The 18,090-nt window shown below is 40.3% G+C and overlaps 1 long non-coding RNA gene and 1 pseudogene across 1 annotated transcript; one reads left to right on the forward strand and one right to left on the reverse strand.

The window, feature by feature from the left end:
* Nucleotides 1–9,658, reverse strand: LOC107987280 (uncharacterized). The gene is made up of 2 exons (XR_007067755.1): nucleotides 8,871–9,658; nucleotides 1–440 (listed from the first exon to the last, which is right to left on the reverse strand). It is a non-coding gene; the product is annotated as an uncharacterized LOC107987280 (long non-coding RNA).
* A 5,407-nt stretch (nucleotides 9,659–15,065) lies between these two features.
* On the forward strand, nucleotides 15,066–16,614 carry LOC105379482 (translation initiation factor IF-2-like; annotated as a pseudogene).
* The last annotated feature ends 1,476 nt before the right edge of the window (nucleotides 16,615–18,090 follow it).

Raw genomic sequence — 18,090 nt, forward strand, 5'->3', positions numbered from 1 at the left:
TGGTAAGTGTGGTTCATTTTATTAATTTTCTTTTAATTTCCCGAGAAGCCCCAGTTACCTAAAAGCTTCTGTGAGCCTGGGAAGGGATCAGAGTTCCACCTGCAGTGCTATTTTGCCCCTTCTTTCTGATCCTTACAGGAAGCAGGACGATTCCTGGATTCCCTTTTTAAAAAAGTGGGGGTGGGGGTGTGGGGATGGGGGTGGGGGGTGGGGCGGGAATCACTCCAGGCTATTGTATGGGGATGTCCTCTGTGATTCGTGCAGGAGGGAGACATAGTTCTGGTTTCTCGCAGATGGTCACAGGAATGAGGAAAGAATGACTCTTTGGCTCCTAGCAGCAGAATCTTAACTGAGTATGACTTAGCATCCTTCTTCTTGCTGTGTCATCTCTCTTCTCAGGGCAGAAGATATTTACGAATTAGCACATTCTGCTAGCACATCTGTGGGAAAAGGTAGGAAGGAAGGAGGGAGGGTGGGAAGGAGGAAAGAAGATCCACTCCTTATACTGGAAAAAAAGGAGCAATATACTTTTCCTCAAAATGAGAAGTCAAGCCCAAAAGAATTCTGTACAGACCACCTTAAAATAACATCTTTCAAGCCTGTCTGCATGATTTAGTTGCTTCTTTTTTTAAAAAAAATTAATTTATTTTTATTTTGTAGAGACACGGTCTTACTGCGTTGACCAGGATGGTCTCAAACTCCTGGCTACAGGCTATCCTCCTGCCTCTGTCTCCCAAAGTGCTGGGATTACAAGCATGAGCCACCAGGCCTGGCCCAATTGCTTCTTAACAACTTACTATTCTTTGTTCACTACAGTGTATACATAACTGACTTTTTCTTTGGAGCTTCATTTTGTAATGAAGGCTCTGGTCACATGTAAGACTTGTATTAAATAAATTTGCCTGCTGTTCTGTTAATCTGTGTTATGCTAATTTAATTCTTGAGCCCAGCTGGGTCCTGGAGAGGATAGAGTGAAGTTTTGTGGCAGCTACATAAGTCAATGAAATTGGAAACAGAAAAACAATCTTTAAAAATCAACAAAATCATAACCTTATTCTTTGAGAAGATCAATATAGTTTATAAACCTTTCAACTGACTCACCCACAGGGAAAAAGAAGAAAACAAAAATCAGGAGGGAGGGAACGTTATTACAAATTTTGCAGATACTAAAAGGATTATAAGGGAACATTACAAACAACTCTTTGTCCATAAATTCATCAATTTACATGACATGGAATATTGCTTGAAAGGCACAAACTACCAAAGCTCACTCAGAAAGAATGGATAACCTAGATACTTGCGTGTATGTATGTGTGTGCATACATACAATTTTTACACACACACACACACACACATATATATATGCACAGTTAATTTTTTCTATCTTTTGTAGAGATGGGTTTTTACCATGTTGCCTGGGCTGGTCTTGAACTCCTGGGCTCAAGCGCTCTGCCCACCTTGGCCTCCCAAAGTGCTGGGATTACAGGCTTGACACACTGCACTTGCCTGGCCTGATATATATTTCAAAACTGATTTAATAGATAAAGCCTTCCAACAACAACAATAAAAAAACCAATATTGAGATGAATTCATTGGTGGATTCTACTAAACATTTAAAGAGTAAAGATGTGAATTTTAAATAAACCCAGAAACAAAAAGAGAAGGGAACACCCACCCACCCCCAGCTTGTCTCATGAGGCCAGCGTTAATCTGATAATACCAAACAAGACAAAGAAATTACAAGGAAAGAAAACTACAGATGAATATCCTTCATGAACTAAGTGAAAAAATCCTGAATACAGTAGTACCTTGGTATCGGTGGGGAATTGGTTCAGGGACCCTTATGGAAATCAAAATCCGTGGATGCTCAAGTCTGTTATGTAAAATGGCCATAATATTCTCATGTAACCTTTTCATATCACCCTGCATACTTCAAATTATTTCTATCCCTACACAATAAAAATGCCCTGTAAATAGTTGTCATACTATATTGCATTTTTTATTTGTGTTATTTTTATTGTTGTGTTGTTAATTTGTATTTTTTTCTGAATATTTTTGATCCCTGTTTCATTGAATCTGTGGATGCTTCTGTAGTATCCACTGGCATGAAGACCTAGATGACAGAGACTGAGGTGACCACAGGACCTGGAAAGTGAGGGAAGAAATCCTGGGAAAAAGATGTCAAGCAAAGAATTGCCCCTTATTCTACATTAAACTCTGCCCAAATTTCAGACTGACTGACACCCAGAATGTATAAAGACTTGTACAATTCAATATTAAAGAGCCCAACATCTCAATTATAATGGGCAAAATTTGAACAGTTACTTTACAAAGGAAGACATACAAATTGTTAATATAGCCTGTGAAGAAGTGTGACATTATTGGTCATCAGGAAAAAGCAAATGGAAACTGCAGAGAGATGCAACTACACAACCACCAGAATGGCAGATATTAAAAATAGTGATAGCAGGCCAGCCGCGGTGGCTCACACCTGTAATCCCAGTACTTTGGGAGGCCGAGGTGGGCGGATCATCCAAGGTCAGGAGTTCGAGACCAGCCTGGCCAACATGGAGAAACCCCATCTCTACTAAAAATACAAAAATTAGCCAGGCATGGTGGCAGGTGCCTGTAATCCCAGCTACTCAGGAGGCTGAGGCAGGAGGATCGCTTGAACCCAGGAGGCAGAGGTTGCAGTGAGCCAAGATCATGCCACTGCACTCCAGCCTGCATGACAAGAGTGAAACTCCATCTCAAAAAAGAAATATTAATAACAGCAAATGCTTATTAGGATTCAAAACAATCAGAAATTGCATATATTTTGGGAGACAGTGTAAAATTAATCTTTTGGGAGATGATCTGGTGTTTTCTTAAGCAGTTAAACACACCAAGCAATTCTAATCATAGATATTTATTCCAGAGAAAAGAAAGCATATGACCACAAAAATACTTTTATAAGTATGCTGCAGGATCTTTATTCATAAAAATATTTAGACAATTAAAATGTAAGCAAGTTTCCAAAGACATATATTCATGCAATAGAACATCACTCAGTAATAAAAAGGATCAAATAACTGATATGTGCATCAACATGGATGGATCTGAAAAACACTATATTCAGAGAATTGTAATGCAGAAGAGTTCTTACCGTATGGTTCCATATATTTCATATTCTAAAATTAGTAAAATTTATGGTGAAAAAGTGGAACAGTGGTTGCCACTGGGGGAAGGGGTTAGAGATTGACTGGTAAGTGTCATGGGGGAATCTGTCGGGTAATGCTAATGTTCTGATGGCTAAGTAATAAGTAAGATAGCTAGATGGATGACTAAGATGTAAATGTTGCTAATTTTAGAATTTAAGCTGAGAATATATGGGTGACTACTGTATAATTCTTCCAACTCTTCTTTATGGTATAAAATTTCAGAGCTAGGCACAGTGGCTCCTGCCTATAATGCCAGCACTTTGGGAGGTCAAGGTGGGAGGATCACTTGAAGCCAGGAGTTTGAGACCAGCCTGGGCAACATAGTGGGACCCGATCTTAGCAAAAAAAAAAAAAAAAAAAAAATAGCCAGGTGTGGTTGGGCACACCTATAGTCCCACCTACTTTGGAGGCTGAGGTGGGAAGATGGCTTCAGCCCAGGTGGTCAAGGCTGCAGTGAACTGTGATCATGCCACTGCACTCTAGCCTAGGTGACAAGGTAAGACCCTGTCTCAAAAAAATTTTTTTTAGTAAAATATTGAGAAAAACCTAGTTTTGAGTGAAAAATTTTAACAGAGTTTTATAACACAAGATATATATATATGCATCCGAAATTCCATACATTTGCCAAAAAGACATACCAGCAACAGGCACACATTAAACAGATCGACCTGGCTACTGATGCTACAGGGGAGAAAATGAGAGTGGGTAGTGGGGGATATAATGGAACAAATAAATAATATCTGTTTGTTTTTTTCTTTCTATTTTTAATATGTATGCCGTCAAACATTCCCCTATTCAAATAAATGATAGTTTTATGTTCACATTTTATTCAGTATTTCTATGTAAATAAACTAGGAAGACGGTCTGTGGAAGCTTTATCTGTGTTGTTGCCAAAGGTCTGTAATATGTCTTGAAGAATATTTTCCAGAAAGAATTTAGAAGTGATTCACAACTGAATCTTGTATGCCAAGAATAGTGCACATGAACAAAACATTCTCTGACCATAGAAGGATCAATCTTTTCATTTCAAAACCCCAGAGATTATTTTTATATTTTATTACTACTTTTAATGTTGCAGACAATAATTAAAATGAAAAGCTTATTTTTTCATTCCTTTGAAATTGACTCAATTCTTTAGTCTTCAGCCTTGCCATTAAAAAAAATTTTCAATGTCTACAAGTGCATCTCTAGGAGTCTCTTCCTCCTTTTTCTCTTACTCTTCCTCTCCTACTTCTCCTCCTACACACCCTGGCCTTCCACCCACTTCTCCTCCATCTTCTTCTCCTCCTTCCAATATGTGATTTTGCCCATTTGGATAAATTGTTTATTCTCTCTTAATGATTTATTTATTACAATCTGCTTCCTTCTCTAATCTTCATTTTTTCTCATTAGCTTATAAGATACACCTGATCAATATGTTCATATCCATTATAGAGTTTCTCATTATTTTTAGTCCTTCCCTCTAAGTTCTGAAAAAAGTTCTATGCCATATATTCAGTTTCCTTTGAAACATATCATTGATTTTTTAAAAAATACTTTATTTTAAGAGCAGTTTTAGGGTTACAGAAAAATTGCAGAAAAAGTATTAATATTTCCCATATGCTCTCCTTTCCCCTGCCCAGTTTCTCCTATTGTTTGCATCTTGCATGTGTGTGGCATATTTGTTACAACTAATGAACCAATATCGACACATTATTATTAACTAAAGTCTGTGGTTGACATTAGGGCTTACTCTTTGTGTTGTACATTCCATGGGTTTTGACAAAGCATAACATCCTATATCCACCATACCATATCATACAGAATAGTGTCACTGCTTAAAAATACCCTGTACTCTACCAATTAATCTCTCTGAACCTCTAACAACCACTGATCACTTTACTGACCTTTAGTTTTGCCTTTTCCAGATTATCATATAGTTGAATTACAGTATGTAGCTTTGACAGACTGGCTTCTTTCCATTAACAATATGAATTTAAGGTTATTCTATGTGTTTTCATAACTTCATATCTCATTTCTTTTTATGGCTGAATAATACTCTATTGTATTGATGTACCATAGTTTGTTGGTCATATATCATTGATTTTTACAGATTGAAATATCACTTACATTCAGAAAAGTGTCCAAATCATAAATATACATGTGAAAGTATGAACATAAAATGAACAGCTGTATAATCACCACTCACAACCAAAAATGGAGCATGGTAGAATTGCAAACACCCCACTCTCACAGCATCATGATGCTTTCTTCCCCAGGAAAAGAAACCGCTACCCTAAGTTTTAAGGTTCCCTTGCTTTTCTTTATATTTTTACTATTTAATTGTCCAAAATCATCCTACTGATGAATTTTGCATGTCTAATGAACAAGTGGAATCACGCTGCATCTACTGGGTTTGTCTAGTTATTTTGCTCAACATATTTATGGGAGTCATCATGGTATTGCATGTACAGCTAAAGTTTGTTCAATGTCCTTGCTCTTACCTTGTGTAAATAACAAAAAATATTTATCCATACTATCATCGATAGACATCTGAAGTATTCTCAGTATGTCATTGTGATGAATGATCCTGCTATGAACATTCTTATATGTGTATTTTGGTACACATTTCTTATGGGTTTATACACTGAGTAGATTTAAGTGTCATAAGAAATGCTTTTCAAATTGTGCTCTACAATCCACCAGCCTTAGATTGTTGCATGTAGTGGGAGGTATAGGTCAATTTCAGTTTTATTTCACAATATTCAATTTAACAGCAACATGTGTTGAATATTTGCCCTGTTCCCATGGTGCTGCAGTGCCACATTTGTTGCAGATCTGAAGTCAACATGAGCATGCATATAAAATTCAAAAGATCTACACATAAAATATTAAAATTAATTAGATTAGTTGGCAAGATTGCAGGATAAAGGAGCAAATGTGGTATTTAGTAGAAATGGTTGGAGTGGACATCATTATTTTGTTCCCCATCGTAGAGGAAATGTTTTCAATATTTCACTATTCCTTTTGGTATTTGTTGCCATTTTTGTAGATCTTTACTATTGCTTAGTTGCCTAAATTTTCTTATGACAAATGGGTGATTAATCAAACTTTTTTTTTTCTGTTTCTGATACCTAGGTCATGATGTGTTACCCTTTTATATATGATTGGCAACATTTTGTTTAGGATTTTTGAAAGTATATTTATGATGAGATAGACCTGTCATTTTCTTTTTCTTTCTTTTTTCTTTTCTTTTTTTTTTTTTTTTTCTTGAGATGGAGTCTCACTCTGTCACCCAGGCTGGAGTGCAGTGGCACGATCTCAGCTCACTGCAATCTCCACCTCCCAGGTTCAAGTGATTCTCTTGCCTCAGCCTCCCAAGTAGCTGGGAATACAGGCGCGTGCCTCCATACCTGGCTTTTTTTTTTTTTTTTTTTTTTTGTATTTTTAGTAGAAACGGGGTTTCACTGTGTTGGTGTTTGCCAGAATGGTCTGGATCTCCTGATCTCATGATCTCCTGATCTCATGATCTGCTCGCCTTAGCCCCCCAAAGTGCTGGGATTACAGGCATGAGCCACCGTGCCCGGCCAGACCTGTCATTTTCTATTGTAATGAAGCCTCTCACAAATTTTGTCAGTGTTATTATAGTGGCCTCATAAAGTTAGTTGGAAAGTGTTTCCTATTTTGTTATTCTGAGGAATAATTTTGAGATGAACATGGTTTCTTCTTTAAATATTTGGTGGAATTCACTGATGACACCAGATTTCAATGCCATACTCTTTTATCTATGGATTACTTAAAAGTGGTTTAATTTCCAAACAAGTTTATAATTTAGGGTCCACCTAGAAGATAGAAACCTTACCAATTATTTGAAAAGAAAAATTAGCATATTGTAGAGTTGGTAGCTAGATTTCTGAAAGAGCAGAAAAAGAACTCTGGGCCAGATGCTGTGGCTCACGCCTGTAATCCCAGCACTTTGGGAGGCTGAGGCGGGTGGATCACGAGGTCAGGAGGTCTTGAGACCAGCCTGGCAAACATGGTGAAACCCCATCTCTACTGATAACACAAAAATTAGCTGGGAGTGGTGGTGCATGCCTGTAATCCCAGCTACTTGGGAGGCTGAGGCAGGAGAATTGCTTGGAGCCGAGACGCAGGGGTTCCAGTGAGCCGAGATGGCACTACTGCACTTCAGCCCGGGGAACTGAGCGAGACTATGTCAAAAAAAAAAACAAAAAAACTCTAATATATGATGGAAGTAGCAACTGCAGGAAGTAGCAACTGCAGCAAGCAGCAACCACCTGAGGTCTGAGGAAACAAAGTGAAGAGACAGGAATTACTAAAACTTAGAAGCTTGGAGGAAGGTCATGCTCACCTGAAACTCAGACCTCTAAGGAGAGGCCAGTGTTCAGCTGGCTCTGCTGTCTCTGAGCTCAGAAACAGGGCCCTGCAATTTTAGCACTTAGACATCTAAGGATCAGTCTTTGGGAAGCTGTTTAATAATGTTTATAAAGAGCCATGATGAAATAGGTATTCAAGTGTTAGAAAAACTGAAAATTAGGCAGTTGCTACAAGAAAAAGTACTGCTGGCTGGCAGGCACAGGATACAGTATATCTCCCTGCCCCCACCACCCCTATACTCTTCTGCTAATAGTTGCCGAACACAGAACCAGATTGGGGGTGTAGAGGTCGGGAAAGATTGGCTGCAGACTCCCCCATTCCAGCCCCATAAAGCAGAGTGAAGAATGGTGGGTTTGGAGATGAGACAATATTTATTAAATGCACACATGAATCATTTAGTTGTATTTTTATTGATTTCTAGCCAAATTTCACTGTATTCGAAAACATAGTATTTCAGTATTTTGAAATCCCATATCATTTTACTCATTTGTACAAATCTTATGTGCGCCTGAAAAGATGTGCATTTTAATTTTTGCTAGAATCTTTCTTTCCCCCAGCTTCATATAGGTGTCAAAAGTGCTGCAGAGATTCTAGGCTTTTCAGATCCTAGACTAGACCATCATCCCCAGGAGAAAAGTAGCCCCAAATGCATGACTCTCCCAACTGTTTCTGAATTTTGGCCCACCATTTCTCCATTATCTTGTCTTTTGATGTCTTTTGACATTTAAAAAGTTTGCTCACCTTTCCTCTGCTACATGTTTGTTCCAAATCACTCATTTTATTATTACTAGAAGTGGAAGTATACAAAATATTATTCTGTCCCTTTTATTTTTAAATTTTCATTTTTTCAAAAAAATCACCTATTATCAGATTGATCCTCTTTAATATGTAAACCGTATGGATTTTCAAAAACATTTCCTTGGAAAGGAGTTAAATAAAGAATCAAATAGTTTCATCTCTTAATAGTGTCTTTTAAGCCACTGAGCGTTTTCACAGATTGGTCGTTATGTCTTTTTATTTTCCTCTTCCTTTTCTGGATTGAGTGAACCCATTCACCGTCTTCCCTGAGTCATCCTCCATAAGACAACTTACAATATTTGCTATATCAAGAGCAGGGTGAAAATAGGTGATAGATTTTTCTCAAAGAAGAAAAACATTTCAAGGTTTTACAAGGGAGTTATCCCTTCCCATAATAATAACATTTTGTCTGTATCAGTACAGCCCTTCTATTTGCCTTATGACTTGCATTTCATCATCAGTAGTTAAAGCAGAGGAAACGTGGGAACCACTTACTGTTTCTGCTTATGGCCTCATCAACGGTTGCATCTGTTTTTTTTTTGTGGATTCTTGGCATCCACGTTCTTGTGGATCTTGCAACAAACACATTATGGTAGGTAGCAGCAGCACTATCAGTTTCAGACGCGTCCACACCAAAATGGAATAAAAAAGTAATCCAGTCAAAGAAAGGTTGAGATCCTGTATTCCTCAAATTCGGTGTCCAGTACAAATCAGCCCAATTTCCTTTAAGTACCTGCATTTTTAGCGCACACATCCCTTCCATTCTGTAATTCTTTTTTTTTCTTCCTGTATTGCAAGCTTCTCCGTTCTCTCCTTTGTGGGATATTTTCTTGGTAGGTAGGTAGGAAGGTAGGTAAAGTCCGCTTTGGTTGAGTTTATTTGGGTTTGTGTAGCGTTTGAAGAAAAATAAATTCAAACTCTAGGGGGAAGGGAGTAGAGCTTGACTAGCAGTATAAAATTAGATGGCTAACCAAAAGAGAATAGTGACTATATAAATACTGACTATCCAAACGAGAAAGAGACGACTTAAGGGGAAGTGCTGCCCTGCAAGAAATTCCGGGAATTGTCCAGAAGATCCACAGGGTCAGAGACACACGCGCCAGGAAAGGCGCCTTTCATGCACGGTCCTCTGGGGAAAACAGAGAAATATATATAGGAGCTCTCTGTCTTTGGAAGCATTTCGGTTCCAGGAAGGGAGAGTTAAGGAATTCCTCTGGGACAGGCACATGTGAAATATGATCCAGGCTCTCCGCTTGGCACCCTGCACTTGCGTCCTAGGCAGGCAGAGAGTGGAGAGTTTTTCTAGGAATTCTGGGAAGTGTAGTTTGGGAGCCCCGTGTAGTCGTGTAACTTCCGCTCTAGGAGGCTGAGGCCGTCTCCCTGATCCCGTCGAGAATTCTGGGAAGCGTAGTCCAGGAGGTCTCAGTAGGGAGAGCCACTTCCGCCCAAGGTACGCTAGGCCGCGGCCTTCTTTCCTCCCAGAAAGGTGACCCTCCCCGCCCTGCGTCCTGCTCCTTCCGTCCATACTGATGTTCGTTTTGCTGGAGGCCAGTAGCAACTGGACAGTAGCCCTAGGGGAGGAGAATCCACCTGCGGCGAAGGGTGGGATTTGTTTTCTTTGAGCCTTCTCCAGTGTGGGGCAGCTGGCGCATCTCCACTTAGCGCAGGGGGTCCGGGATCCTACATCTCAGGGACTGGGGATCTCCTGGGTTCTGTACTCCCCCAGCCCTTTCCCCTGACCATCAGCCAGCTCTGCCATTTCCTAGCAGTATAATAAAAGGCGAGTATCTTAATCTCTCTGCCTATGTTTCTTTTTCTTTAAAATGGTACTAGTATCTATCTAATGGAGTTCTTTTGAGAGTTAAATAAAAAGGCTTGGAACAGAGCCTGACAGATGGTAGAAGATGGGTCTCTTGTTATTAGCACTTTTTAATTTTCTGAGAAGGACTCAGTTCCCTGAAAGCTTCTGTGAGCCCAGGATGGGGTCAGAGCTCCAGCTGCAGAGTATCCCTGGCCCTTTTCTGATCACTGAGAGATTTTTCTTTAGGAGAGGATCACTCCGGGCTGTCTGGGCAGTCCACTGTAATTCATGCAGGAGTTCTGATTTCTCCCATCCTCCTTTCCTTCTTTAGCCTTGACTTCTTGAAAAAGGCTTCAGGGAGAAGGAGGGAATAACCCTTTGGCACTTGGCAGCGGAGTCTCACCTGAGTAGTACTTATCATCCTTTCTTCCCAGGGGAGACGATATTTCCTTCATTCATTGGCAAATTCTGCTCGAAGATGCCCTGATATTTGTTCAATAAATGCAGAAACGGATGAGGGAGAACTTGGGCATGAGTAATAAAGATAGTATTTAAACATTGAGTGCTGATCATTCTAAGAGTTTGATATGAATTAACATATGTAATCCTCACAAGAGCCCTTTGAGGCTGGGTTGGGTGCCACCATTCCCATCTTAAAGAAAAGCAAAGAGACACACAGCATAGATGGTTTATCTTTAGGTCACCCAGGTGGTAAGAGCCTGAGCTGAGATTTGAATTCAGATAGTTTCCATCCATTGCCTTAGTTCTTGATGTGTTTAGTGTCAGCTTCAGAAGACATGTTTGGATTTTTCTAGAGGACCGTAAAAGCGAGGTTAATGAGCTTTGAATTTTTTATTTTTTTTAGTTATCTGTAATTTAATTTTATTTGAAATATTTACGTTCATATTCTGATTATATAAATGATTGCATATTGTAAAAGATTAAGAAAGTATAGAAAGAGTAAAAGAAAAAAATTAATTATGCTAACCACAAGATATAACAATAACAATATTAATTCAATGTTTTCCTCTTCCAGTAGACTTCTTTTTGGATTTTTACCCACGTTTAACCAAATAGGCTTCATAGCTTTTATTTTTCCCTTAAGTTTTTACTATGGAAATTTATAAGCATAGCCAAATGTAATATGACTAAAATAATTCTGTGGAAGCATCACCCAGCTTCAACCTTTGTTAACATTTGCCTGTCTCGGATCAACTCCATGCCCCTTTTTTTTTGGTTTCAGTATTTTAAACCAAATCTCTAACATCGACTTAGTATAATATTGTTTGATTGATTGTCATAATTGTCAAACATTGATGATCATAAATTGCTTATATCCAAGACCGTGAAAGGGAAATGCCAGCAGCTACTCTAAGGTTTTCATTCGTTGCAGCTTACAGAATGGTCCTTACTTGAGGACGCTAGAGGACGCAAGAGAGTTGTACCTTGGAGAAGAATGGTGCTGAATTTTGTGTTCCAGTATAGAGTTTGCCTTGCCTAAGTCTTATAGCTCTTCGTTTCTTATTTATCTTTATCTAATCCATACACTGAAAGTTCTTCTATTTCTGGGACCATGTCATATTTTTCTCTATGTGTCCAGGACATCGTACAAAGTTGTTAAGTGTTTATGGTTAGAGTAGCTACTCAACAGACAGCTGGCATCAAGGATTTGCAGTGTAGAATTGGAATTAGGTATCAAAATAGAATAGAAATAACCCCTGGATATATTCCTTAATCTCACTTAATATTGGTAGGTTATATAATCCACCAACTATTTCAGAGTATTGAAGAGTTGAAGAGCAATGATTGGTTATGTTTCGATAATCTAAAAAAAAATCCCTGGAAACAAATTGTTAGAAATGATAACAACATTTATAGACCATGCCTTATAACTAAGATTGTGTTTCCAGGTTTTTAAAACAGGTTTTTAAGAAATGTTTCTACAGTAAAATAGACTATTTTGTTATTTTTGGTGTACAATTCTATTACAACACAGGCATAGTTTGTGTAACGACTACCGTAGTCAGAAAAAGAACATTTCCATCACCCCAAAAACTCCGCTCATGTCTTCCCTCATAATTACCCCTCACCATACCTGTAACCACTGGCAACTACCATAAGCACTAAAACTCTACAGCTTTGTCTTTTTGAGAATGTCATATAAATGGACTGATGCTATATGTAACATTTGAGACCGGATTCTTTTACTCAGCAAATTGCTCTTGACATTCACCCAAGTTGTTATACGTATCAATACTTCATTTCTTTTACTTCTGGTTAACGGAAGTATCCACTTTATGGATATATCACAGTTCATCTATTCACTGGTTGATAGACTTTTCCCCCCACTTTTTGGCATTTATCAATAGAGCTGATATAAACATTCATGTATAGTTTTTTTGTGCTTATTTCTGTAGCATACGAAGCCAGGAGTATGTTTACTGGGTCATATGGGAAATGCATGTTTAACTTTATAAGAAACTGTCAAACTGTAGTATCTGTACCATTTTGCATTCTCACTAATGATGTAGAAATTTCCAGTTTATTTACATCTTCATCAGCACTTAGTATTTTCCTTATTTTTTTATTTTAGCCATTCTAAGCATTGTGAGTTTAATTTACATTTCCCTAATGGCTAATGGTGTTCAGCAGATATTACTTTTTTGTTGTTGTTTCTTTGCCATCCTTATATCTTCTTTGCGGAAGTGTCTGTATGCATGCTTTGCCCAGTTTTACATTGGGTTATATTTTTCCTATTGTTGATTTTTGAAAGCTATTTATATATTCTGGATATAAGTCCTTTTTTGGATGTGTGATTTGCAGATATTTCTTCTCAGCCTGTAGCTTGTCTTTTCATTCTCTTAATAGTGTCTTTTGCAGAACAAAATTTCTAATTTTAATGACATCTGATTTATCGATGTTATCTTTTTTGGATTGTGCTTTTGATGTCATATCTAAGAAGTCTGCCTAGCCCCAGGTCATGAAGATTTTCTCTTGTTCTAGACGTTTTATGGTTTTACACTTAAATCTGTGATCCATTGTGAGTTAACTTTTTAATAATATGCGATGGTTAAGTTGGGGTTTATTTCTTTACATGTGAATGACCAACCATCCCAACACCACTTGTTTGGGTTTATTTCTGTACTATGTTCTGCTAAATTGATCTATGTGTGTATCTCTTCACCAGTACCAAGATGTCATATTTACTGTAGCTTGATAGTAAATCTTAGGATAGTTTGATTCCTCCAAATTTATTCTTTTTTTTCCAAAATTGTTTTTAGCTATTCTGGTTCCTTTGCCTTTCCATATAAATGGAATGCATACCTTTCCATGCATTTTAGAATCAGCTTATTTATATCTACCCAAAAATTCAGCTGGTATTTTCATTGACATTATGTGAAATCAGTAGATCTGTCTTTCTCACATTGAGTTTTCCAGTTCATTAATATAACAAGTCCGTTCATTTAAGTGTTCTTTAATTTCTTGCTTTAGTGTTTCATGATTTTCTGCATACAGATCTATACATGTTTTGTTTAGACATATGCCCAAGTATAATCAGCCAACTGGTCTTCGACAAAGTAAACAAAAACATAAAGTGGGGAAAGGACACCCTTTTCAACACATGATTTTGGGATAATTGGCGAGCCACATGTAGGGGAATAAAACTGCATTCTCATCTCTCACCTTATACAAAAATCTACTCAAGATGGATTAAGAACTTAAACCTATTTTCTGAACTATAAAAATTCTAGAAGATAACACTGGATAAACCCTTCTAGACATTGGCAAAGGCAAGGATTTCATGACCAAGGACCCAAATGCAAATGCAATAAAAACAAAGATAAATATCTGGGACTTAATTAAACTAAAGAGCTTTTGCATGGCAAAGGGAACAGTCAGCAGAGTAAATACACAACCCACAGAGTGGGACCCCTGACCCTGACCCTGAACCCTAACCCTGACCCCTAACCCCTGACCCTAACCCTAACCCCTAACCCTAACACTTAACCCTAATCCCTAACCCCTAACCACAACCCTCACCCTCACCCTAACCCAACCCTAACCCCTAATACCTAACCCCTAACGTCTCTTAACCCCTAACGCTAAACGTTGACTCCTAACCCCTAACTCTGACCCCAACCGCTATCTCCAAACCCTAACCCTAAACTTAACCCCTAACCCTAACACCAACCTTAACCCTAGGTTCGTTACTACGTTGGTATTGACTATGTCAATGTTGATTATTATGATCGCTGTCTTAGGACTGCACGGCAGCGAGGGGATTGCGGATCTTATATTAATATTTTTGTATTGAGGCAGTGCATTAGCATTACAGGTGCTTGTTACATGAGCAATGGGGGTGTCATATTTTGGGTGTCATTTCTGCATTAGGAATGCTGCATTTGTCTTCTGAGGCTGCGGTGTGGATCTCGCACTGCGGCCGCCTCGCCTTGGCTGGGGAGAACCTCGGTGGGCAGGATTCAGAGGGGATTTTGGTTTCCCGTTTTCCACACTGAACCCCTCTAACTGGTCTCTGACCCTGATTATTCAGGGCTGCAAACAGGAAGGATTTTATTCACCGTCGATGCGGCCCCGAGTTGTACCAAAGCGAGGCAGTGCCCCCAAGGTCTGTGCTGAGCAGAACGCAGCTCCGCCCTCGCGGTGCTCCCGGCCCGCCCGCCCGGGTCTGTGCTGAGAACGCTGCTCCGCCTTCGCTGTATCTCCGAAGTCTGTGCAGAGGAGAACTCAGCTCCGCCCTCGCGATGCTCTCCGGGTCTGTGCTGAGGAGAACTCAGCTCAGCCCTCGCAAAGGCCCAGCGCCGGCGCAGGCGCAGGGGCAGGGAGGCGCCCAGCAGCGAGGCAGGTGGCACCACCAGGGGGCCCTCAAGCCTGGCGCGCACGCATTCCAGACGACACCCAGACCATGCTCCGCCGCCTGGGCGCCCAAGCTGCAGTCGCCCTCTGTGTGCAGGCAGCAGCTGCCTAGCAACCCCCGAGCCCGCTCGCGCTCCCAGCATCGCAGAACCAGGGCCAGGTATCCCAGTGGCTGCGGCCAAGCCAGGCGTTCTGCCCGGCGGCGGCGGCTGCACAGGAGCCAGAACTGAGAACCCGCCGCTCAGCCCCACTCGGGGTGACTGCCGAGTGCCCGTGCCAGCGGCCCCGATCTCCCTCAGATGGAGGAGTGGGCGAGAGGCACGGCCTGGGGGCCCTCAGGCTGGGCGCGCTGGCGATCCCAAGGCCGACCAGGCCATGCACCTCCAGCCCGCCTGGGCACCTAAGCTGCAGCCGCCTTCTGTGTGCAGGCAGCAGCCTCCAGGCAACTCCCGAGCCCGCCCGCACTCCCCACATCTCGGAACCAGGGCCAGATGTCCCTGTGGCTGCGGCGAAGCCAGGCGGTCTGCCCTGCAGCAGCTGCACGGGGGCGGGAACCGGCCCTCAGCCCCATCCCGGGTGGCTGTAGAGGACCCCTGGCTGGAGGTCTCGAGCTCTGGCAGAGGAGGACCCGGGCGGGGGCAGGGTCTGGCGGGCTCTCAGGCCAGGGGCACTCGTGATCCAGAGGCCGCCCAGGCCATGCTCCACCACCTGGGCGCCCAGCTACAGGCGCCGGGCAACTTCCAAGCTGGCTGGCGCGCCCAGCCTCGCAGAACCGGGGCTAGATGTCGCCGTGACTGAGGCCAAGTCAGGCGGTCTGCCCGGAGGCGGCTGCACCGGGGCAGGAACCGACCCTCAGCCCCATCCCCGGTGGCTGCAGACGGCCCCTGGAGCGGCCCCGATCTCTCTTCGGAGGAGAAGAGGGGCGGGAGTCACGGCCAGGGGGGCCCTCAGGAGGGAAGGGATGAGCGCCTGCGATTCCGGGAAGTCCCGCGCCAGCCCAGGAGAACCCGCAAGCCAGCGGCGCCTGTTTCTCTGTGTGATTCTTTGAGGAACCACCAAACTGTTTTCCACAGCAAGTGCATCATTTTCTGTTCCTAGCAGCCAGTTCATGAGGGCTCCAATTTCTCCACCTCCTTAGCAACATTGATTTTCTGTGTCGTTGTTATGAAAGCCTTACCAGTGGATGCAAAGTGGCATCTCATTTGGGTTTTGTCTTGCATTTTATTAATGAATAATGGTGTTTAGCATCTTTTCTTGTCCTTCTTAGACATTTGTGTATCTTCTTTGAAGAAATGTCTATTCAAGTCCTTTGCCTCTTTTTTAATTGGGATCTTAGAAATTCTGTTGTTGAGTTGTGGGATATTAAGCTTTTATCAGATAAACACATTGATTTTAGCAGATACATATTTTCTCACATACTATGGGTTGTCTTTTCACTCCCTTGATAGTATCCTTTGATGCATAAAGGGTTTTTATTTTGATTGAATCTAATTTACATGTATTTTCTTTTGTTATCTGTGCTTTTCTGTCGTATTTCAAAATACACTTAAAACTCAAAGGTCATAAAGATGTACTGTGTGTTTTCTTCTAAGAGTTACATATTTTTAGTCCTTACATTTAAGTCTTTTATTAATTTAGAATTAATTTTTGTATATACTGCAAGGTAGGGGTCTAACTTCTCTCCTGTGCACTGACATCCAGCTGTTGAAGAGACTGTTCTTTCCTCTCTTGACTAGACTTGGCCACCTTGTTGAACAGTCATTGACCATATATGTGAGGACTAATTTGTAGGATCTCAAATCTGTTCTATTGTATTGGTCTAAAAGTCTATTGGTCTTATGCCAGTACCACACTCTCTTGATGACTGTAGATTGGTAGTAGGCTGTGAAACTGAAAAATGTGAATTTTCCAATGTTCTTTTTCAAGACTGTTTTGTCTGTCAGATCCTTTGAATTTTTGTATGATTTTAGAATGAGTTTCTTTGTTTCTGCAAAAATGCCTTTGGGATTTTGATGATATTGCATTGAATCTGTAGATACTTTAGATGGTATTGTCATCTTAACAATATTGTCTTACAACCCGTGAACACAGAATGTCTTTCCAGTTATTTCCACTCTCTTTATTTTTTTTCAGCAAAGTTTTGTGTATACCACCATGGTTACATTTATGCCTGAATAACTTATTCTTTGATGCTATTATAAATGGAATTTTTAAAATGTTTTCATAGTTATTTACAACTAAATAGAAATATAGCTCATTTGCCTATGTTTGTTTTGCATCCTGCCTCTTTTATTAGTTATAAATGGTTTTGTGTTTTGTTTGGAGCTTTATACCCATAAGATCATGTGTAGATATAATTTTACACCTATTTTTTATTTCTAATGTAGATGCCTTTTACTTCTTTGTCTTGCCTAATTGCTCTGGCTAGAACTGCCAGTGCTACATTGAATAGAAGTGGCAAATGCACCATCCTTGTCTTGTTCTAGATGTTAGGAAAACAGCTTTCAGTGTTTCATCATTGATCATGATATTAACTGTTGGGTTTTTGTACATCCCATTGTCATGTTGCAGAAGATCCCTTCTATGCCTAGTTTACTGAGTATTTTTATTATAGAAGGATGTTGTATTTCATCAATGTTTTTTCTGCATCAATTGAAACAATAACATGCTTATTCATTTTAGTGTTACAGTATATTACATTGATTGATTTTTTATATGTTGAGCCACACTTGCATTTTGGGGATAAATCTCAAAGGGTGATAGTTTACAATCCTTTGATTACGCAGTATTGCTGCTAGTATTTTGCTAGTATTGCTAGCATTTTGCTGAGATTTTTGCTTATATATCATAAGGGATATTGTGCTGTAGTTCTCTCTTTTGTGCTCTCTTTGGCTTTGGTATAAGGATAATGCTGTTATCAAAAAATGAATTAGCAAGTATTCCTTCTTCATATATTTTGTCAGAAGAGTTTGAGAAGAAATGGTATTAATTCTTCTTTAAATGTTAGGTTGACTCAGCAGTTAATGCAGCTATTTGGTC

The sequence above is a fragment of the Homo sapiens genome, chromosome 20 (genome assembly GCF_000001405.40).
Source record: "Homo sapiens chromosome 20, GRCh38.p14 Primary Assembly".
In the NCBI taxonomy this organism is placed as follows: domain Eukaryota; kingdom Metazoa; phylum Chordata; class Mammalia; order Primates; family Hominidae; genus Homo; species Homo sapiens.